The 24,592-nt window shown below is 38.6% G+C and overlaps 1 protein-coding gene and 1 long non-coding RNA gene across 7 annotated transcripts in view, besides 1 other annotated feature; one reads left to right on the top strand and one right to left on the bottom strand.

Annotated features, from left to right (window-relative positions):
- Positions 1-24,592, top strand: part of ITGA2 (integrin subunit alpha 2) — a 105,428-nt gene that overhangs the window by 31,562 nt on the left and 49,274 nt on the right. For 5 of the 6 annotated variants that reach the window (NR_073105.2, NR_073106.2, NR_073103.2 and 2 more), the window contains exons 2-4: positions 5,835-5,955; positions 21,199-21,308; positions 24,088-24,179. Coding sequence is in view for 1 of the 6 variants with exons in the window: in NM_002203.4 (NP_002194.2) it covers positions 5,835-5,955; positions 21,199-21,308; positions 24,088-24,179 (323 nt within the window). In the remaining 5 variants the exon portion in view is untranslated. The remainder of the gene's footprint in view (positions 1-5,834; positions 5,956-21,198; positions 21,309-24,087; positions 24,180-24,592) is intronic. The other variant, NR_073107.2, reaches the window with a different exon arrangement.
- On the bottom strand, positions 2,634-14,855 carry LOC124900974 (uncharacterized). The gene is made up of 2 exons (XR_007058767.1): positions 14,725-14,855; positions 2,634-5,567 (listed from the first exon to the last, which is right to left on the bottom strand). It is a non-coding gene; the product is annotated as an uncharacterized LOC124900974 (long non-coding RNA).
- Positions 20,577-20,666: a silencer, noted in NCBI's record as "silent region_16004". NCBI's record gives its function as "represses an Ori minimal core promoter by ATAC-STARR-seq in GM12878 lymphoblastoid cells {active_cell/tissue: GM12878}" and the evidence as "EXISTENCE:reporter gene assay evidence [ECO:0000049][PMID:35858748]".

Consider the following 24,592-nt stretch of genomic DNA (forward strand, 5'->3'; position numbering starts at 1 on the left):
CAAACTTCTGACCTCAGGTGATCCACCCACCTTGGCCTCCCAAAGTGGTGGGATTATAGGCATGAGCCACCGTGCCGGCCTTTTTATCTTGATTCTTATACACTAAAGGAAAATTTAAAAGCAGCTACATTACACTCACAATTGTACTGTTTGTTGTGTTACTATTCACATATATTTTACCTTTTTCTTCTATTCTGAATATTATTTTTGTTATTTTATTTTCGTTAAGCACTGTCATCTTCTTCACAATTGCTGTTTTTTTAATGGCAGGATAAAACTCTGTCTAGTTTATATGCTACCATTTGCATATTCACGCCCCTAATCTTGGACATTCAGATAATTTTAATGGTGGTTATTAAGAACTAATTTTTTTAGATTGCTAGAAATTATTAAAGCTATTTAATATGTATAAAGTGTGTTTTCTTAGGCCACCTAAGACTGAGAGATGACATAAAATACAAAATTTTTATTAGCAAAATAGAATTTCTGTGGCCCAGCCACCTACTTACACACACAGAGAGCCTAAGTGCCTAAACACTGTTTTCTCATTCTTCCGGAGTAGATAACATTCTCCCAGACTCTAGAGCATGGTTCTCCTGGAAACCTTTGCTGCCCCTAATTGTGTCCCCTGTGTCCTGATCACTATTGCACCACGGCCCCTGCCCTCGGCATGCTCTAGTTGCTCACTATCCTCTGCCCTCTTCCCTGTCAATCCTTCTGCAGCTACTGAGGACCAGTCCCTCAGGCATGGGAGAAATGTGCTCCACCTTCTTAAAGTAATGACACTCTGTGCTCACAGTTAGAGATAGGCCTTACAGTTCTTATGTTTTTGTTCAATATTTAATGGAGACATTGTTCCCCCTAGAAGTGCAGTATGCATCTTCAGGAATGGGCCAAATTGCAATCTGAGAGGCTGTGTCAAAACCACACCTCTATTCCCAAGTCCACCTCTTGCTTTTGGCCTTTGCTCTCTTCTCTTAACCTGAATTTCTTCCTATGTATGTCCCTGGGCACGTTTTGCAAATGAGTCCCTTCTATGAAAAACCCATCCCTGCCCCTGGCCCTTCAGTATATATAGATATGCTCAAATTTGCATTGACCACAAAAGTTAGACCCTTTTATTTTGCCACCCTTTACTACAAAATGCATCCTTTAGTTCTGACACTGATATCATAGACATCAATAAACTTCCCTTGCCAAATTTTTGTGGTTGAATATAAAATGACATGTTTTGTTTTATACATTATTTACGCTCTTGTTGTTAAAAGACTTTTTCCTTTCTGAGTTTCACTGCATTTTTTTTTTTGGGGGACAGGGTCTTACTTTGTTGCCCAGGCTGAAGTACAGTGGCACAATCACAGTTCACTGCAGCCTTGAACTCCTGGGCTCAAATGATCCTCCTGTCTTAGACGGCCATTGAGATTACACGTGTGAGCTGCCATGCTCAGGCTTTGCTACATTTTTAGAACAAAAGTAGGTTAACTATATCAAATCCCCAATCATATGTTTCTCTTTTGAATTATAACTTAAAATTATGCTCCAGAAGAAAGTAGGAGAATAAATTTCATATTTACTAAAATTAATTCTTAAATTATTGTTTCCAAAAAAATTATTTCAGAGATGGTCAGGAATCCTCAGGAAAGGAGATCCTGTAAATTTTTGTTTGTTTGATTTAGAGACAGAGTCTCTGTCACCCAGTCTGCAGTGCAGTGGTGCCATCATGGCTCACTGCAGCCTGGACCTCCTGAACTCAAGCAATACTCTCATCTCAGCCTCCCAAGTAGCTGGAACTACAGGCATGCACCACCATGCCCACCTAATTGTCTATTTTTTGTAGAGATGAGGTCTCATTGTGCTGCCAAGGACGGTCTTGCACTCCTGGATTCAAGCTATCCTCCTGCCTCAGACTCTAAGAAAAATAAGAAATCTACATGAGTTAACTTATGCTTGACTATCTGGTTTACTTATGGATATTAAAATGGCAACCAGCCTGTTATAATCTAGGATGAAACAGTATCCCCTTTTTATTGTGAAAATAGAGGAAACTAGTTAGCCCTGCATGAGATAAAATGTATTTGGTGTAAGCTTTCGTGAGATTTACTGGAATACTTTGGCCTGGTTACTGTCAACACGTGTCTGACAAGGTCACCTTTGTTAAATATGTTGAGTTTGCGATGCTATTATTGCCTTTCCAGGCATTCACATGAGGACAAAGAAGGAAGATTTATACTCTGGGTGATAATAGGCTCCTGGCAAAGCCCAAGTCAGTTGAAGACTCACTGCATCTAATAGAGAACTGGAAATGTATAGATTAATGAAGCAACCTATGACTCTCTGTGCCAGACTTTTCACCATTGCCGTACTCTTCTCTTTCACACCCTATGCCTACGTTTAACATGATGTTCCCGGTGCCTGGGATGAACTTTGCCTTCCTCTTTATGTAGTGAATTCCAACTTGTCCTCCAAGATCCAGATTAATTGCCATCTCCTCTGTGAAACCTTTGAACTTAGATTTACCCTCTTCTCAATACTGAGCTCAAGGTTCTTTTTACCACTCTTTATTTTAACACTTATACATTTTGATGCCATTTTTTTTAGTAAAATTACCATAATGGAAATGCAAAGAGAACAGGGAGATTTTAGTTTTATTTATTTGCAGTATCCTCAGGACCTTAAAAAACGCCTGGTACAAAGGAGCTGTATAAACATATGTTGAATGATCCATTTTTTAAGTATGTATAGACACATGGGCATGGTTTGGAGGAAGGAAACAAGATGAACCAAATATGGTTCTTATTATCCATATGATTCAGTTGAACTATGAGGACAGACATCAGAAGATATAGGCACTGGGATTGCAAAGAAGAAATACATGTTGAATTAGACAGAATACTTCCATTAATTTTTTATGAGCTATTTAGATATCATATGCCAAGTGTGAAATGATGACAGAGATCTGAATTGTAAATACATATTAAGAGAAAAAGTATAGAGAATTGAGATTGTCCAGATTTATCAAAAGAGGCAGGATATAAAGGGAAAGATTTAAGTAGCTGAAAAGAGATTTAGTATCAATGGAATGAAGGGATGGTGATAAAGAAGGTCATGCTTTGTGAGGAAAAATGAGCAGATCATTTATGAATAGAAATTCTGGACAATAAAGTTGAGAGATGAGCCAAACCTAGACTCAGAGTGGGTGACATTGCGCAAGAAAGACATTTAGCCTTCATGAGTTTCAGTTTCCTTATTTGTAATTTGTTAATAATAGCTTGGTTTTGCTGTTCCACAGGATTGTTGTGGCACTCAAATGAGTCAGGATGATTCTGACATAGGCAGACATAAGCATTAAGAAACAGTAAGATGCGAGTTGGAATAAACATTATAATTTAAATAGAGGAAAAATACTGGAAGGAAATACATCTGAATTAACTGAACTTACAGTAGAAAGAAAAGATTATGAATGATTTTTCCCTTGAGTTTTCTCTATATTCCAAATCATTATTGAAGAACATATAGTAATTAAAATGCATTTTATTAAAAAAAAATCCTAGGTGCTGAGAAAGTAAGAGTGAATAAAAGAAACAAGGTTTGACTTCTCAAGGAGCTTACATTTTAGTAGGCACAGACAAAAGAATATGGCTATATAAGATAATTTTGGATAATTGCTCTAGTAGTGATACAGTGATGAAGAAGGGTGCTGCTGCTACACAGAGGGCCAAGGGAGAGCAGAGACCTATTTGAGCAAAGTCCTACATGCCGTATTAGGTGAGGATGTTATAGGCAGTGGAACAGGCAGCTGCAAAGCGCATAAGCAGAATGAGCTGCATGTGTTCAAAAAACAGAAGGAAAGTGAGTGTGGCTGGAACACAGGGAGGGAGGACGAGAGTGGTCGGAAGTGAAGTCAGAAAGATACACCAGGGCTCAATCATGAAGGACCTTTGAATTTACAGTGAGGACATTGGATTTTATTCTCAGTTCAATGGCAAGACATAAGTTAATAATATATATCTATGCATATATAGTAACACATATATGCCTATATATGTGAATTGCTGTATAATTGAACTGCTAAATGATAAAATGAACTCCATCATAATTTCCTGCCATTAAATGATCTGCCCAGGTCTAATTAATGGGGGAAAATGAGGTTGTTTTATGTACAGTCACGTGTCCTTTCCAGAATTAGGTATTTTAAAGGTGAAAGCAGTTTGGCATCATCTCTCCACGCTAATATGTTAGATGATTGATAACATATTCAAATAGCATTTATTGAGCTCTCCACAATGGGGTGAAGATAAATGTTGGTTGAAAACACCAGGTATTTTGCATGCCAATTCTGGATCTCTGCTTAATTTGCTGTTATTTTCTTTTGCATTTTTTTATTATTCAAAAATAAAAAGGAGCAATGGAGCATATGAAAAATAGATGTTAAGGAGAAAATTTGCAGATGTTAAGCTTTGCAGATTTTGCTATAGAGTATTTCAGAATGAGTATTTGTGTTTCTCTTCATGGCAGCACATTATTTGTAAGAAATAAAAAGCTGAATTCCTTGTGTGGACAAATCCCTGATACAGTGATTTTGGCACTTACAGAGGGACGTTAACTACTTAAAGTCCCCGTTGCTTCATCATTGACTTCATTATCATTTTGGAGCACTCTACAGAATCTGCTCCCTGAAATGCAGAGGCGCAATGGAAGAGCAAGCCTTTTTCTTCCGGCCTTTCAGTGCCTAAAACAATAGACATATGAAATACCATGCACTTGCAATGCTGCCTAGAAAGTAGGACATTTCTTTGTGAAAGCACATGTTAATGGAACTTTGATGTCAATTTTAAAGAGTCCATTCTGTCTTCAGTGTCTGCGAAGGTAAATATTGATCTTAAGCAACATGAGGCATATTCCCATCTCCAGAGAGAGCATTAATATCCACACAACCTTCTTTCTGTAGGATGAAGAACTGGCAGCATTAATGCTGTCAGTGTCATACAGAGAAACATGATTTGCCTTATTCCTTTCCTTCATTCCCTTTCCATCAGAAATAAGAATTTTCAAAAAAAATAAAATAAAATCTATCAAGGCTTTATATGCCTTGGTCTTTGTTCTGTTTTTTGAAATGATTAGCATTTCTCAATCATTCAGAAAGAAGCATCAAAAACAAAACACTTTTGACAGTTCCCACTGGAATAAAAAAGATATGACACCAATCCCTACATTTTCATCCTCAAAAATGATAATGATCACTTCTGAAAGAAAATGATAACAATTTTCAAGGAGCTGTGATTTTCTATCTCCTTTGATGTAGTCATCAATGCCTTTTCGACAGATGTTTCATATAGAGTCCATGTCAAGATGTTCAAGGTGATTCAGAATAAATAGATGATACCCTTCAGCCCTTGCCCTTGGGTGGCTTAGAGTCTTGTTGTTTTGGGAAGGACAAATATAACTCAAATTACTTAAGAATACTTAGAGATAATTTAGTTGTTTTAAGTCTTGTGTTCAAATTTTGTCTTCATCCTTTCCTCTTTCCAGCTGTGAGATATACTTGTCCCCTGGAACCTCAAAATTCTCTGCAAAACAAAGATAATATTAGTAACTATCTTCTAGCATTTCCATGAAGATTAGTAAGATAATGAATTATGCATATATAGTATTTAGCTTGGTGCCGGGCCTCCAAATAAGTACTTAAAAAGCAGTAGTTATTTTTTCTGGGTAAACGTTGATAAGTAATAATTATTAGGTCAAGCAAGTTTTCTTAAAAATGGCCTTTGAGAATTATACGACACACTTATATTCATGAATTGTAAATATGTGCTATTTCATATTTTTCTTAATAGGCATTTTAAATTGTTGTTTGGCCTACAATGTTGGTCTCCCAGAAGCAAAAATATTTTCCGGTCCTTCAAGTGAACAGTTTGGCTATGCAGTGCAGCAGTTTATAAATCCAAAAGGCAACTGGTAAGAATATTCTCTTCTTTATGATTTCAGTAAAAATACAAAATAAATTTCATATTTGACTTCAATTGCTTTTTCAAATTGGTGCCTGACTGTACTATAAATGGGTGGCCCTCAAATATCCTTAAATGAACAATCTTTCTTTGAGAGTTGACAACTGCAGACTGATCATTAATGGGATGGTATAATGGTTCATTTTTAAAAACCTGGATAGAAAGTTTTCTCTAAATATTCAAAAGCAAATTTATAATACCAGTTTTGACCATTAATACATAGGTAGGTAGATTGATAGAATGATAGATTTGTCTTCATTTCTGATCATGTAAACTGATATTCATTGAACTTTGTAAATCATTACCTAGTTATTAATGCTATCTCTGGACCATTTCTAAATGGTAGAATTGTTTCCTACATTTTTTTCTTTAGCAAGGTTTTGTCTACTTGCTTCATTCTAAGTTAGGCTTTTGCCCTCCTTGTGGTGAAGGGTCCTCACAAATATCAATGCAAAATGTACAAAGGTGGCTTTCTCTAGCATATTAACACCTTTTGTTTTTGCCCCAAAGTGCTCCCAGTTTTTACATGCTATGTGATGGTTACATTTTCAAACCATGGCTTTTCTACCCAGGTGAAAAACAACCACCTCAATGGAGATGGAAATCTAGTTCCCATAATACTAATGCAAGTGAACCCAGAGAAATGAGGTAATTTGAAAGTTGTATTTGGGAAGAAGCGCTGTAGCTCCTATTCTGCCAGAGTTCATGCCCACTGGTGGACACAGGTCCTGCCATGGGGACCTTATCTCCTTGTTGCAGCAGGAGGCTCCAACCATCCCCACTCACCCTGGAACTTCAGATTCTGAATCTCCACTCTCTAGAGCTCTTTTCAGTGATTAAATGGGCTGTTGTTGGCTTATCAAATAAGAACCGTAATGTATGGCCAAGTGCAGTGGCTCACGCTTGTAATCCCAGCACTTTGGGAGGCTGAGGTGGGAGGATCACTTGAGCCTAAGAGTTAGAGACCACCTGGGCAACACAGTGAGACCTCATCTCTATTAAAAACCTGAAAATCAGCTGGATATGGAGGTGCATGCCTGCAGTCCCAGCTACTCAGGAAGCCGAGCTGGGAGGTTGGCTTGAGCCCAGGAGTTTGAGGCTGCAGTGACCTATGTTGGCACCGCTGCACTCCAGCCTGAGTGACTGAGTAAGATCCTGTCTCAAAAAAAAAAGAGGAAAAAACCGTAACTGTAATTCATAAGCCTTTTTTTCTGTGTGAACTTCCATTTGATACTCTAAACAATTGAATTCAAAGAAAGGTTCAGGATCACATGTTGGGGCATGCCTGTCTATTTGATGAGGAAACAAAATGAAATCATCCCCTGAGAGGGCAGCATTTCTCAGCAGGCATCTTGGAGGATGTAAATCGTGAGCTGGGTTTTAAGTAGTGAGGATGAAGAGGCTGGAGATGAGTGTTAACTAATGTGAGGAGACTTAGAAAACAATGCATGTAGATACAGTTTGTCAATTGTCTAGAAGGATAAGAACATCTGGTTGGAAACCAAAGATTGGCAATTATTGTAACCATTTGGGATACGAGAGAGAGTTGCATGTCTAACAATTATCAAATGATGCTTTGATAATCATAAAGTGGTGAGGAGGCTAGAAAGACAATATGGTCGGTATATTTTGACCTTGGAATCTAGCAGATGAAGTAGCTAATGACCCACAGTTTTAAATATTCAGCCCTAATTTTTTCCCTCAGACTGCTATATTAAACAATTCATTCAACATCTCCACTTTAATGCCCAGTAGACATACCAAACTGAACTGGGAGAACACAAGTATCTGATTTTCTGCACAAGCTAATGAGGCCAAAAATCTTTGACTTGTCTTCTTTCTCCTCCCCTATATCTTATCCATGAGCCAGTCCTGTTAATCCTATCACCAAAATACCAATTATACCTGGCCGTTCCTCACTGTCTCTCCTGATGCCACCCTGATGGAAGCCAACACCAGCTCTTACAGGCACTGCTGCAGCAGCTTCTCCACCTGCCTTCAGCTTCCCTTCCTGCCAGCTTTATTCTGCTGTCTTTGCTCTAGCCAGTGTGAACTGTTAAAAACATGGCTCGGCCAGGAACGGTGGCTCATACCTGTAATTCCAGCACTTTGGGAGGCCAAGGCGGGTGGATCACTTGAGGCCAGGATTTCAAGACCAGCCTGGTCAACATGGCGAAACCCCATCTCTACTAAAAACACAAAAATCAGCCAGGTGTGGTGGCGGGCGCCTGTAATCCCAGCTACTCCAGAGTCTGAGGCAGGAGAATCGCTTGAACCTGGGAGGCAGAGGTTGCAGTGAGCCAAGATCAAGCCACTGCACTCTAGCTTGGGTGACAGAGTGAGACTCCATCTCAAAAAACAAACAAAAAACACAGCTCATTCCCTAGATTAAAATTCCTTAAAGGATGCTCTGCGATTGGGTGTCAGCCTCTCTCCTATTATCATCTTTTACACCTTCTCCTCTGCTTTCTATGCTCCAAGAACTAAGTCTTTTGTCTGTTCCTTGAACATGCCTAGCTCATTCCTGTTGCAAAGCTTTTGCAAATTATTTTCTCCTGCCTGGAAGAGTCTTCCCTAAGATCATCACTCAAATGGTTTTCATCTTTCAGTCTCAGCTCAAATGTTTCTTCCTCATAGACCTTTCAGAGCAACCCTATCTATATAGCACTCGACTGCTCTCTGAGTCACTCCAGCCTTACAGGTGGATTTATTTTCTAATGATTAGTACTATCTTAAATGATCTATACTTGTTTATATGCTCATTATCTGTCTCCTGCCACTGTCTCTGAGTTCAGGGACACTGTTTTGTTGACTGCTGCATTCTCCACACCCAGAGTGATATCTGGCACTGAGTAAAGGATCAACAATTATTTGTTAAATGACTAAATGGAAGTCCCAATTCTAAATGATTCATCCCAAGTGCTATACAAAGTGAGCTATAGTAGACTGACTTAAGATGTTTGAGCTGAAAGGGAGCTTCAGATGAACTCCACTGTTCTAGTTCATAGACATGGCCTAGCTGAGGACATCTGGCACCGAGTTTGAAGCAATTCTTTTAAGTAACAGCTTTCCTGGACAGAGTAAATCTAAGAGCCACCATCAGTAATAGACATTATTGAAGGTGATAAGCCTTTCAAGGATTGTAAGGGGCTCAACCACTGGCCATGCTGCTGGTTGGAAGTTGAACAAGACGAAAAGGGACACAGAGTTGAGAGGATCCCACCAGGCAGAGTTCTGGGAACATGAGAGGCAGCCATATCTCCTTTCTCTGTCCAGGATTACCTCTAAGTATCCAAGACATTGTTGAAAGACAAGTATATTTGTAGTTTATAGTGAGATCCTAGTGCTGGTAAGACCAGGGACACTGGACATTTCTAAATCCTGCCTGGACCTTCTCATGACATCCCTGAATGATGTATAAACACAGGACAATAGGTCTGGGAAGCAAGGCACCACTCTATTATTGGCTGGGCCAGGGCTTTGAACTCCAGTATAGAGCTTTCTGGCAAGGTGTAGCACTGAGATTAGGCTCAAGGCCTAACCACCAGATGATACAAGCATACCCCACCATGCAAGAGGAAGAGACAGCACCTGTCTGACCTGAAGGGCTGAACCATATGGAATTCAGAAGCAGGAAGGACAGAGAACAAAAGTTGGCCAAGCAAGTCTGTCTGGGTCCTTTTGTTGATCTGGTCTTATGAAGCAAAGAAACAAGAGAGGCAAAACCATGGGCATGATTTTCTAAACTACATGAGGTGCAAAAAATGCAAAACATAGTTGTTGGCCTTAAGGAGTGTAAAATAGAGTCAGTGAGGAAGATTTATATGCAGAATAGGCAACTTTGAATAATATAGAAGACATCAGTCAGTGTAAACCCCTTGCAGTTAATGGTGTTTGTTTTCTTTCAGTGTCACTAGCTATAATAACTTAAGAGCTCATTTTCTTTTCCCAAGGCCTGGGTCATTAGAGAGACAAGGTTTTCTCATGACCTCTGTCATTTGCCCAGCCCTGCCAAGGTACCTTGCCACAGAGGGCAGGGCTGTGGCCAGGATCCAGGTGAATGGGTTATCCCATTACAGTGCTAGAGTGGGCCATGTTAGGACAAGCAGTCTTCACGACTCTCAGGCTCAAGGAAAATTATATGAAACTTGGAACCCAGAATTGCCTGTTTGTTTTGACAGTGGGCCCTGTGCCCTTCTCTACTCTTAATTTATGACAGTTGCATAGGCATTATGGAAGTAGCAGATGTGGGAAGGACTGTTTAAACATTGACTTTCCTTCTGATACTAATCAAGTTAGTTTTGGACACAGAAATTGGTATGACCATGAATTATTCCTTTAGCAAATTGCGAGTTCTTTTTCCATGGATTTATCATGTAATACATGCACACACACACAACTTTGTTTTCTTTATTCCCTTACTGCTTATTCTGAAGCTGTCATTTTGGTATCTTTTTCCTCTGCTTACTTTGACTTTCTTTGTAATCTTTCTATCTAAGTCCTGACTTCACTCCTTTCCCTCAGACAACTCACTGAAGGCTCTAGTCTGAGTATTCTTAAATCACACTCTGTTATTTTTAAAGTACAATTTTAGCTCTGTCATGTGTGCCATGTTTTCTAAGAATTTATGGGCATATTTACATCAGGATCTACCAGATTTTAACAAAATAATCTTAACTCTTTTGCTAGTTTCATTTATGAGACTTTCATTGCACTATGAACTTCAACTCTAGAAACAGTGGTGACATGGCTTTGATAATTCTGGAGCCTTTTTAACAGTCTCAAGTGAGCGGGATAATTTTAAAACAAGCTGACCTCCCAAGTAGAGTACCTGGGCAGCCCTCTGGCTGTAAGTAAGGCTGTGGTCTGTTCTCTTTTCGGTGTAGGCGGAGGGCCATCCCGCTTCAGAGCCCTCACTTCACACACAGGATGTTCCAATGTGGATGATGCAATTCTTATCACAAACAATCTACAAAGGATTGAGATATGTTTAAAATCATTTCCTGGAGTTTGTGGTGATATGCACTCTTTCTGTTTGTCTAATCTGAAGGCCTGTTGCAAGAACAATCTGAGCTCATTATGTGACTCAAAAACCAGAGAGAACTGCAATCTCTCTGTGTGATGAGGACTGACTGGGAATTAGGGTATTTCCAGTTGTAGAAATGTCTTTCATTCTAACAAGGACTAGTGCATTCTTTTTCCTTAAAGAGAGAGGAGAAATAGAAAGAACAAGTGTCATAGCAAAAAATAAAAATAAAAAAAATCCACCTATATATGAGCTTATAGTTTTAACTTTTTAATTGAGAAAAACTTTAATAAAGCTCTACATGTGTTATGAATATAGCATTGTCATCCACAGATGTGCCTATAGGAGAACTTTAAATAAAAAAAAAAGTTTAATTCTATAACAGACATCAAAGATTATGTCACGTGATACTTTGATAATAACACCACCTGGTATTTATTGAGTACTCTTTCCTTGCCAAACATGTAATACCCATAATTACTCTAGGAGCTTTGCAAAATTATTACCCCCTTTACAAATGAGAGGAGTGTGACTCAGAAATGTTAAGTAATTAACCTAAGATTACAGAGCTGATAATTAATAAAGATAGGGGAAGCTAATGCAAAATGAGACAAAATGTTCCAAACGTACATATTTTTGTAAGTATCCAAGAAGGAGAGTGACAGGATGTAGTTGGCATTTATAAATAATATTTAAATTTTATTTTAACATAAACTTTATGAAGTAAGAGAAACTTTCAGAATCTTGAATGAAAAATTCTGTTAGAGAATTTCCAATGTTAGCATCATTGGCTTTACCATCAGCTGTTTCCTGGGCAAAGATGATAGTTACCATCCATCTTTTCATCCTATCATAGACAGGAATTTCTTGTATGAATATACTCAGGAGCCGGAGCACAAGGGTTTTACCCTCAGCTTCCCCACCACTCCCTGGGTGACTTTGGGAAAGTCACACAACTTCTCTGGAGCAGAAAGTATGCCATCCTTATCAAACTGGAATGTTATGAGCACCTTGTGTGAGAATAAAAGTAAAGCACTTCAGGGCTGGGCTCGGTGGCTCATGCCTGTAATTCCAGCACTTTGGGAGGCCAAGGCGGGCGGATCACTTGAGGTCAGGAGTTCGAGACCAGTCTGGCTAACATGGTGAAACCCCATCTCTACCAAAACCATAAAAAATTAGCAGGGCGTGGTGGCAGGCACCTGTAATCCCAGCTCCTTGGGAGGCTGAGGCAGGAGAATCACTTGAACCTGGGAGGCAGATGTTGCAGTGAGCTGAGATCATACCACTGCAGTCTAGCCTTGGCAACAGAGGGAGATTCCATCTCAAAAAAAAAACTGGGTCCTCCCTACCTCTTCCTATCCCCTCAACCAATTCTCATCTGTCATGGATGAGCTTCCATGCATATTGGATTAGCTTCATGAAGTCCATTTCTTCTTCTTGGCCAAGAATGCTATTCTATTCCAATCCTCTTTCCAAAATAATCATGTCTTTGTCTTTTATGATATAGCCTTTTAAATATTAGCCAATTATCATCCTTTATATCTCTTTCAAAGATAAAAGTCTCTTACCATTAGGTTGTCCTGGCAGTGCCATTTAACATGCCAACTTCATTTATTCACAGAGTTTGCTTATATCTTATTTAATTAAATTAATTAATTAATTAATTAATTTGAGACAGAGTCTCAGTCTGTCACCAAGGCTGGAATGCAGTGGCTCAATTTTGGCTCACTGCAACCTCTGCCTCCTGGGTTCAAGTGATTCTCATGCCTCAGCCTCCTGAATAGCTGGAATTATAGGCATGTGCCACCATACTAGGCTAATTTTTTTTTTTTTTTTTGAGACGGAGTCTCACTCTTTTGCCCAGGATGGAGTGCAGTAGGGCAATCTCGGCTCACTGCAAGCTCCGCCTCCTGGGTTCATGCCATTCTCCTCCCTCAGCCTCCCAAGTAGCTGAAACTACAAGCGCCCACCACCATGCCTGGCTAATTTTTTATATTTTTAGTAGACACGAGGTTTCACCGTGTTGGCCAGGCTGATCTCGAACTCCTGGCCTCAAGTGATCCCATCTCAGCCTCCCAAAGTGCTGGGATTACAGGCGTGAGCCACCGAGCCTGGCCCTCCTTTTATTTTAAATTCATAACATAAATATTCCTTTTCTTCTTCCATTCAATTTTATTTTTTACTCATAACTTAGTCCAGTGTTTGATTCTATAAAGACATTAGAAATCCAACTGTAATATATTCTTACACTTTTATTTTAACTTTAAATACTTACTGTTAAAAATTTTATAAATACTTATTATGCTATTGCTGTACAATTAAGCCATCCTCAGCACTATTAATACAGGTATCCAAAGTGGCATGTCTCATCTCAACAATGACAACCCCCCAAGAGGCGGAGGTTGCAGTGAGCCAAGATCACGTCACTGCACTCCAGCCGGGGCAACAGTGAGACTCCAACTCAAAAAAAAAAAAAATCTATAGTAGGAAGGACACTTTAAATATCTCCTGATTTGCTTCTTCGTTCCTTCACTCTGGATACAAGTTTGTGTGTGCACCTACAAACACATGAATACATACACACCCATTGTTTGTGACTTGCACGTGGGAGAGATATGTTGCTCCAGAATGTCTGCTGTGCTTTAATGATCTATAAAAATCCTCCATGCCTCACCAACAAGTCTTATAATTTTAAGCTTTCCTCTGTGGTAATGTGTGAATATCTGTTTCTGGAATAAAGTTCATTTACAAAGGTGACTGGGACTTACACACACACCTTCCTAGTATCTAGTTGTCTAAGACATTTACATCCATCTAACTCCATCTAAAGAAGGATCTGGGGAATGCTAAGTGGCACAAGTGGCAACTATTTATTAACTTGCTGTGCCCCATATGATGGGAAAGCAAACAGTGCTTCTCTAGAAGAGTTCTAAGGGAACTTAATATGGTAAAAAGAACCAGCAATTTTGAGCAAAAGGGCAGGGGTGCAGATATATAGGTTTTGCTTTCACTTAGACCCTTGAAGTCAGTTTCTTTAAATGAAAACATAAATAGTTATACACTTGACCTCACAGAGTGTTTATAAGGATCAAAGGAGATAATGCACATAAAAAATGCTTTATGAGCTATAAAGCAGTTTACAAATGTTGCTATTCCAGTTTTTATCATTGATGAAACAACCATCTGCCAAAGCACCTAGTTGAAAGGTACTAGCTCATGAGCTTTGATTTGCAAAATGTGATGGTCTTAAAATTATCCCCCTCTCTCCCTCCAATAGCCAAGAACAGGAATTTGTATCATCACAAGGCTTTAGGGTTAGTATTTTAGCTTTTGATTTTAAATTCAAGAAAACTGCATGTCGGATGAGAGGAAGTAACATAATTAGTTTTTATTGATTATATTTCTTCTAGTGCCAAAGCCAATTTCTGGAATTTTTATGAGACAGAACAGTAAGCTTAAGATGTTTTAGCAATAGTGAAGTCAGTGGACTCTTTATCGTGAAACGGAAAGATGCTGAGGATCTAGCCATCCCGCTAACTGAGGAGACAATGTGGAAGCCTAAGAAGTCTGAGGCAGCATAATGAGGCCTAAATACTAAAATTGCCTTTCAATATATGCCAAAGAATTTAACTATTAAATTTATGATAGCAGTATTTCCAAATAAAACCTAAAAAATGAAATGACTCTTTTTACCTGTCTTCCTTCTTCCCAGAGACGGGCAGCCTTCACGGGTGAATTCTTTCCATCACAAATTCATTTTATGTTTACCAGCAGAAAGCAGGTACCATTTAGAGCTCACCAAGCACCTTGTGTTGTCCGTGGCCTGGAACTAAACAATATAAGAAACAATATTTATATTTATATACTATAGACTTGGAAAATTTTTACGTGCATGTAGATACAATAAGTTTCTAATCCAAAGTAAAATATCCCCTTGGATGGCTCATAGACCTCTCAAACTTAAAATATCTCACAGTGAACTCTTGAGCTCCCCCTATCGCAAAATCTTGCTCTACTGACAGCATCCCCTTTAATCTGATGGTAGTGACTAGTTTCTTTTAGCTTCTCAGCCAAACACCTTTAGGCTGTCTTTGACTCGTATTCATTCATTCATTCATTCATTCATTCATTCATTGAAAGACCAACTCCTCAAGAAGTCCTGCTGCCCCTACCATCACACTCTATCTAAAACAAGACCACCTCTTACCACTTTCCCTTCTGCCAGCCCTGTATGAGCACTCCATCATCTGTTGCCTGGATGATTGCAGTTGTCTTCTAAGTACTTTACATGACTCACCTGTGCTTCAATACAATGATTCCCAACAGTGTGGCCTTCAAAATTCTTCTACAATATGTCAGATCACATCATGCTGTACTCAAAACCCTCCAATGGCATTCTCATTTCCCTCAGCTGGAAAGCTGAGGCCTTCTATTAATCATTACGTACAAGTCACTACATGATCTATCATTACCAGTAGGACTACCATCTCCTTCCACTATCCCCCTCACTCATTCTGTTCCAGCCACAGGGCTTTTGCATTTGCTGTTCCCGCAGCCTAGACTATTCTGCCACTAGAGTCTTAAGGTTTACTCTTTAACCTTCTTCAAGTTTTTACTTAAATATTACCTTCTCAGTGAGGCCTTCCCTGACCATTCCGATGAAGATTATACTGCTCTCCACCCCACACTCCTAACTCCAGCCTGCTTATTTTTCTCCCAAAGCACTGATCACTACCACTATATGGTTTACTTACTTATTACATTTACTGTCTATTTTCTCCCACTAGAATGTAAGCTCCTCAGGCTAGAAACTTTTTTACTGATTTATTCACTAGTATATCCTCAGTACCTAGAATGAGGTCTGGTACATAATAGGTCTGGCCACCACGTATAGACTCACAGATTGTATACTGCACAAGGCCTGGACACACCATTCAAGGAATGGTGTCCCCTGGGGTTGTGTACCATTTCAGTCCCCAAGAGCCCAATAAACATTTGTTATAAAATTGAATAAAACAAAATGTTTTGCCCTACTATTTTAAGTACATCTCTGTCAGTAATCTCTGGTAAAATCTCTAGTATTGAAGAAAACACTTGGAGAATTTACAGACTCACAGACCAAAGGAAGATATTTATAACAGCCCCTAGATTGTGGGTTTAAAACTGTCCTACCTACACCACCATAAATACTGCTTGCTAACTAAACAAAGTATTTTGAATTCCACTGGAGGTAGGCAAATTGGCTGTGTTTTGAAAGTCTACATAATCACTATTTTCCCACAAGATAATTGAACAGTAAGTGTTATTTAAAGTAGTCTTGGAAGAATTCCCAGTTTCACTGGAGGAAAAGAAAAGTTTATATCTTGGGATTTTGTTTTGTTTTGAGAATCAGCACACATGCCTGTTCATGCAACTCTTTTGTCTGGTTGGGATTAAATTAAATCCATTACTTCAAAGAGGTTTCGCCATACTTCAACAGGTATACTCACCAACATATCCAATTTCCCACCTTGGTAACAGTTTCTCTTGGTGTGTCTCTTCCTGCACGTAAAATTTCATAGAGAAATATAACAGCCTCCCTCATCTTCCTGTCTGATTAATTTAAGAATGCCACAATTTTCTTGGAATAGCCTCTTGGTGATGTCCTAGCCTCTTCTTATGAGGGTGAGTTGTCAGGAACTAGGATTTCACCGAGGCCTTAGGGTGTGAATGAGGAGGAGAGTCTGCTGGAAATGTTTCTAATAAAGAAGGTAAGCAAAGGTCAGTGACTTCTCTGTAGTCACCAACATGACCTGTAGCCTACTTATTAATGTGGTTCACAATATTTAAGAAATGAGTCATATATGATGAGGAAACCCTTGTTCTTCAAGAGTTACCAAAGTGGTCTGGTTTTCCACTATTTTCTATTGCCTTGTGTTAAGAGTTTAAGATAGCATAATACTGTCAGAGATGTATTTGCATGTATCTTTTAGGGAATTTCAAGTGCTTCCACATCCTTCTTGTTAAGTGCCACACAACTGCACAGATGCTTACTTTTCTCTTCTTTCTGATTAAATTAGAAGAGCTGCAGTTTTCACAGAGGTGGTCATGATGTTATGACCCCTCCTGTGCTGCAAGGTTATCAAATCCTGAATTCTTAGAAAAGGTGGTAGGAGGTGACAGGGAGAGTGTCCAGGGAGTGCTTAGTTGAGAGAAAAAAACCAAACAGTCTTCTCAGGAAGAAAATAGCTAGTTGTTGCAGCTTTGCTACCAGAGGCTCTGATAAAAAAAAAAAAAAACAGTTAAATTTTAGATCAGACACACTTCTCTGTTGTTTCTCAGCAAGCCTCTCTCGGGCTGTGGTGAGGATGGTTGGAAATGTGCATAATAGAATCACCTGAATTTGGTATTTGCATTTGGTATTGTCTGAACATACCCTGTTCCTACCTGTCATTGGGTTTGTATTTGGTGTTGTCTGAACATGCCTTGTTCCTACCTGCCATTGAGAACAGTGTAGCCTAGGCCCCACAGTATGGATGTACCCTCCCAGGACAGCTGTGCTTCGTGTCCAGTCTGCAGCCCCTTCATATATCACACAGCCACACACCCCTTCACATAAGTGTGGCCTGACTCCCTGTGTCTGGTTTCTAATCCATGCTAGTTCTAGAACCCACCTCATCTGCTAAGATCATTTTCCCAATCTGGGCCCTCTGCCAGGACTTCCTGCAGCTAAGAGGAAGGACACTAGCCTAAGCGTTAAGAACCTGGGCTTCCGCACTTGGTTTTCACTAGCCATGGGAACATGAGCAAGTCACTCATCAATCTGTGTCTCAGTGATTCCATCTGTAAAATGAAGTGTAAAATGGGGATAAGATCATCCCCGGTGGCCAGGCACAGTGGCTCACACCAGTAATCCCAGTGTTTTAGGAGGCCAAGGAGGGTGGATCACTTGAAGTCAGGAGTTCCAGACCAGCCTGGCCAACATGATGAAATGCCATCTCTATTAAAAAAGTGCAAAAGATAGCTGGGCATAGTGGTACATGTCTATAATCCCAGCTATTCAGGAGGCTGAGGCAGGAGAATTACTTGAACCCAGGAAGTGGAGGTTACAGTGAGCCAAGATCATGCCACTGCACTCCAGCCTGAGTGACAAAAGACGAGACCATCTCAAAAATAATAATAATAATTTCTGGCTTCTTCTGCAGATGAAATTAGATAATCTTTGGAAAGGCTTACACATAGTACCAGATGTTGTAAAATTTACTATAATTAATAGGAATTAATTAATGAATGCCAAGGGGCAGAGCCACACTTCCTATGATAGTTCCTTGCTATAAGGTGCTATTTTGTTCTCTACATTTACTCCATAGTAAGCTTTTGTTTGAGAAAAAAAATGCCAGTTTGGTGCGTAGTAGATACGCAGAGGCTGAGAAAGGAACAGATGACACAATAACACAATGGTAACAGAATGTATAATGCTTCCCTCTCAACTTGGTTGATTTGTTTTTTTTACATTTACTTGGACCAAACAAGCAAAAATACATGCTCCCCAGAAGAACAGAAATAAGGATTTTCTTTGGGAGGTGGAGGCGGGCGGATCACCTGACGTTAGGAGGTTGAGACCAGCCTGGCAAACATGGCAAAATCCCCTACTAAAAATACAAAAATTAGCCAGGTGTGGTGGCGCGGGCCTGTAGTCTTAGCTACTTGGGAGGCTGAGGCAGGAGAGTCGCTTAAACCCGGGAGGTGGAGGTTGCAGTGAACCAAGATGGTGCCACTGCACTCTAGCCTAGGCAACAGAGTGAGACTCCATCTCAAAAAAAAAAAAAAAAAAAAAAAAAGTAAGGATTTTCTGCTTAACTTTTCCTTAATCAGGAAACTCTTTTTTAAATGATAGCATAGAATCATCCATTCATTTGCTTGTTCATTTGCTGTTGTTTTTTTTAACTCATTTGTTCAACAAGTGGTTATTCATTGCTACAGGCACAGAATTCCTAGCCCTCATGTACCTTTCCTCTCTAGTGAGGGATTTAGTCAGTAGGAAGGCAGCTATGGGGCAATATGATTTTTTTTAATGGGATGTGGAAAGGTCAGAGGCTATGTAGGTACTTAGGGTTACCTCGAGTTAAAAGAGCCGGGGGACTTCCTAGAGGAAGTGGTGTCAAACAGGAGATCAAACTAATGAGTAGACATTGCCAGGCAAGAAACAGCATGTATGAAGGTTTAGAAGCAACAGAGACTCTAATTTGAAGGAGAAGCTAAATTCGATATGACTGAAATGTGATTTCAGGAAGACACATAGAAAAAGCCAGGGTTAGAGAAGAAAGAGTCAGATTCTTTCCTTTTTACACTTTAAGATATGTCCAGCATGCAAAAATCAGAGTTAATGCTGTGTAATACTACTATGAAATGAAGACCTGTACAGATGGAGAAAATCAAGGCTCTGGAAGACAATTTTCTTGGTACCGACTCTATAAGATTCCTAATTTCTTCTGAGCTATCATGAATTTGAAAGACATCAGATATGCTCAAACACGCGTTCCAATTCTGCACTGGTTCCCTCCCTTCATTAAAGTGGCTATTGGGACTTACTAACATCCAACATTCAGATTTCTATCTTTTTCAAAAGCCTTAACCTATCTGCCTGGTATTATTGTAAACCTAACTATGGTAATATTTTAAAAGGTAAATTATGGTAAATTATTAGCTCATAAGAAGAAAAAATCTTTCAACTCTAACGTTAAGGCTGACTGAATTAAAGTGTGCTAGAGTGTTCTATCTTAGTTTGAGAATAATTTTATAAGATGAACGAGGAGAGAACTTATTAATGAACTATTAACTTTCAAAATAATCTGCATTTTCCTTTTTCCCTAAGTGTTCATGCTATTCTGTCTGCTAATACTTCAGGTTAAAACCTTCATCCTTTGGTGTCCATTTTTGTAACCTTGGACCATTTTAATGTTTTTTCTACTGGTAAACTAGATCATATATTCCAGGTCATTTGGATTTTTATTTTACTTGTCACATATATCTAGTTTTACTAGATTTAGAAGACAGCAGTCTGCTTTAATCCTTTTGTATCTACCGTACCTCAACATGGGGCATATGTTGTTTAAATGATAATTATAAAATATATATACAGAAGGCTCATGAAATAATTTTAGTTTCTTTGATATTTTAACCCTTCCCAATACTGACATGAAAAAAAATGGAAGCAAATATGCTTCCGTATTAATTGAATGCTGCTGAGTAACCTGCTGCAGTTTCTAAAGATCAAACTGATACCTGGGCTCTTTCTGTGCAATCTTCTGTGGTTCTAAGTGTCAGGTGAGTGCTTCTGCAAGAAAACCCATATTCTCTAGGTGAAGTTCTGAAGGAAATGAAACTAACCGAAGGAAGGATGTAAACACCAATCTCATCCTGTATTCTAGATATATGCACTTTGTTACACATAAAGATAGCTTGTAATGTATTTGTTCTGTATTTTTGCTAAGTATCCTCTCATAAAGACAGTTAGCATAAAGCCACTAAGATAAGATATCTGCTCTCTAAATGAGTCAACATATGAAAATGCTTAGGGCATAGAAAGCACTCAGCAAAGGCTAGTTGTTGTTCTTGGTTTAAATTTGGTTTCATTCTTTAGAGCTGTGCTGAACAATACGTAGCCACGAGCCACATGTGACTACTGAGCACTTGAAATGCTACTTTTCCATATTGAGATGTGCTCTAAGTGTAAAATCTACACTGAAGTTCAAAGACTTAGGAAAAATGAATGTCAAATATCTCATTACTAATTTTGATATTGCATGCTAGTTTGGATATATTGAGTTAAATAAAATATATTTTTAAAATTAATTTCACCTGTTGCTTTTTATGTTCTTAATGTAGCTGGCTACTAGAAAATTTGAAATTATATATGTGGCTAATATTCGTAGCTTGCATTATATTTCTATTGGACAGCATTGCTTTAGAGAGACTTTCTAGGGTGTGTGGCAATGCAGCAGTGTTACAGACATTGATCAAAGCTCTTTATCAGCTAAGCAGAAAGGCAGCAGGTCAAATCATAGCTGAACAAATATAAACTGTTCACATTGAAATTTAAATGTGTTTTTCACTGTTTGTGATCAGGTTTATCTTTAAGAAACTATACTTAACACTTTGTGTCTAATAAAAAAAATGTGTTTCTAGGTTACTGGTTGGTTCACCCTGGAGTGGCTTTCCTGAGAACCGAATGGGAGATGTGTATAAATGTCCTGTTGACCTATCCACTGCCACATGTGAAAAACTAAATTTGCAAAGTAAGTTTAAATTTACTTGCAAGGCATGTGATTTGTCTTAGACTCAACTGAAAAATAACATCAGAACAATCATTGTTCTGTCTTAAAGAAATACAGACAGCTTTTTTTTGCCCTTATGTCTTTAGTAATATGGGGCACAATCATATCCAAATTTCCAAAACAGTTTGGAGACTTGACTTAACAAGATGCGTGGAAAATGTGCTATCTCCTGGACCATTTACCTATAGACCATGGACTGGTTTCCATCAACATTTAGAATAATTTTGATGATTACTTGCAGAATCAAGGCTATCCTTGAATCCGAGGCTATCCATATTTCTTTCTCTCCTCTTTGCAAAATAAACCATTAAGTTTGGAAACATCAGTACAAGGGCTGAGTTTGGAGGCACCAAAAACACTCTGTGTTTCTTGTTATGTCTAAATGATGGCATTCTAATAAAACAAATCCACAATTTGGAATTATTTGCTGTTTTAATTATCCCCATCTCAGATGCCTCCTATTAATGCCAAAAATTTACTAAAGGTTCAAGGGTAGACAGCTAAATGAGTGACATTTCCATGTAATATGCTGATACAAGTAAAAAGTCACTCAATTTGATCATCATTACATCATCAGCAGCAGCAGCCTAAAAAAACAGCCCTGAGGAATCACGGAGTTCCTCTGAAGAATTGAGGCATGAATTAGAAAAGAGTGTTGTGAAAATCAAGGGAAAGAAGAGTTTCAAAAATAGTGATTAAGACTTGGAAACAAGGGAAGTGGTGTTTCTTGCATATCTCTGTAGACCTAATATCTAGAATAATTTATGGCACATAATAGGGCTCAATAAACATATTTTCAGTGAAGTAGAAGGAATATCAGTAGTGTCAAATGCTACAGAAGTTGAAGGGGATGAGGACTGAGTAAATGTCTTCAGCTTATTTAAGCAGGTTGTGGGTGATCTAGATCAGTGATCTCCAAATTTTTTGAACACTCAGTATATATATATATATATTTCTAATAACACAAATATATACATTTGGAGTGAGTGTTCAAAGCTTTATTATATAGTCCAAAAATTTTAGTATATCACCCCTAACATTTCATATCACCCTTAACTTCTGAACACTCATTCTTAATGTATATATTTTTATTATTTTTAAAGCTATATACATGTACTGGCCTATCTTCTCAATAATACCTTCACATAAAAATAAATTTTAAAGAATAACAACATGCCCATAGAAGTTCTATTATTTTCTGTCTTCACTCTAACAGATCATATTTTGTGTAACTTACTCACCTAGAGGATAAATCCACCAGTGTTATGGGGAGAAAATAGATAACAAAGAATTTAGGAGTGTGTCAGTAGTGAATGTACAAGGAGTGAAAGTTGACCTCCATTTCCAGAAGTTCAGCAGTGAAGGGGGAGCTGGGAAAAACAATTCTATGGGATAGCAGTGTGAGAAGATTTTTCTAGTAAACAAGAGATGATACTTTTTGTAGGGAACATGGAGGCAGCAGTAAAAAGGGATGATTTGTCCAGGATAGAGTTAACTGATTAAAATTAATGTCATTTGTACCTGAGAAATAGAGTCTTAAAAAGAGTTCTTCCTTCTCTAAGACACAAAGGAAGGAGAGAAAAATTAGGAGTTCTAAGAATGATCTTTACACAATGATTAGAGAAACTGAGATTACCCTGGAAGTCTGATTCATCTTCTCTGCAGTAGTCGTTATTCACTGAGTGATGGGATCTGAGTTGAGGTTGGAGGCTTGAAAAGAAGGGGTGAACTTGGCTGGGCATGGTGTCTCACGCCTGTAATCCTAGCACTTTGGGAGGCCGAGGTGGGTAGATAGCCTGAGCTCAGGAGTTCAAGACCAACCTGGGCAACATGGTGAAACCCCATCTCTACTAAAATACAAAAAATTATCCAGGTGTGGTGGTGTGCACCTGTATTCCCAGCTACTTGGGAGGCTGAGGCAGGAGAATTGCTAGAACCCGGGAGGCAGAGGTTGCAGTGAGCCAAGATCGCTCCACTGCACTCCAGCCTGGATGACAGAGTGAGACTCTGTCTCAAAAAAAAAAAAAAAAAAAAAAAAAAAAAAAAGAAAGGTGAACTTTTACAACAGTCACCCTGGGAAATAAGGGAAGGAATCCAATTAAGAATAAGTGACAGAGGCAATGATAGCTTGGCAGAGATGAGAAACATGACTGAATGATGGTATTACTAAAGAGAATTGCAATGTTCGATAACTCAAGAATGGATACAGTGGTTGATGCCCTAGGTCAGTGGAAGACAGGAGGTGGAGAGATTTATTTAGTATATTATATGACTCGTCTAATTTCCTTTTAACATTCACCCACTATTGCTTTGAGCCAGATTCTATCATAGGGCATTCTTTGATAACACTTCAAGGATATTTTTACTGACCCAGAAAAAAAAAAAGGCATTAGATAGAGCTACTGTGACTTTCAAAAGAGAGGCAAAAATGATGTCCTCAAATGTGTTTTGTTTTGCTAGAATATTGTAAAAAAAATCATAATTAAACATCTATAAGTCATACCCTCTCCAGAGCCCACTCCTTACTGTCTTATGCTCTGCAGCCTCACACATTAATGTGCGTTACCAGATCACTGAAAGCATCGCGTTTCCCCACACTTCATTATATAACTCAAGTACCTATATTGATGACACTAAATTCAATGCTACATGCAAACATGGGTGTGCCTGTTTTCTTTTAATATCTTTAAGTAAACGAGGAATTTTTAATCACTTTTAAAAATTGTTTTCCCTTTGAAAGCTTCAACAAGCATTCCAAATGTTACTGAGATGAAAACCAACATGAGCCTCGGCTTGATCCTCACCAGGAACATGGGAACTGGAGGTTTTCTCGTGAGTGTTTACTTTACAAATCATTATTCCTCTCAAGAAAGTACATAGACAGTAGTGTCTTCTCACCATCCCTCCCAATCTGAGGATTTAGATGTTTAGAACTTGCTTTTTGATAAATTATGCTATTTATTTGGCTATCCAATGTTGAATATTCAAAATAATGTTGATGTGTAGACTTTTTAGGATATTCAGCAAAACCACTGCTACTGAATGTTTTGAAGAAAAGGGAACAAAAAGAACCCTGATTCTTTGCCCTTGGAAAGTGTGCTGAGTATTTGTTGATAACAGCAGAATCCCAAATCTCATTTCTACTTCCTGTAGGATCATTCAAGATAGTTTCAAAGCTAAAAAGTATTTTTGGTTTTTAATCATTTCCTGTAATTGTTGAGTAATCTGGTGTTATCTGAGGCATG

Source organism: Homo sapiens, chromosome 5 (assembly GCF_000001405.40).
Source record: "Homo sapiens chromosome 5, GRCh38.p14 Primary Assembly".
In the NCBI taxonomy this organism is placed as follows: Eukaryota; Metazoa; Chordata; class Mammalia; order Primates; family Hominidae; genus Homo; species Homo sapiens.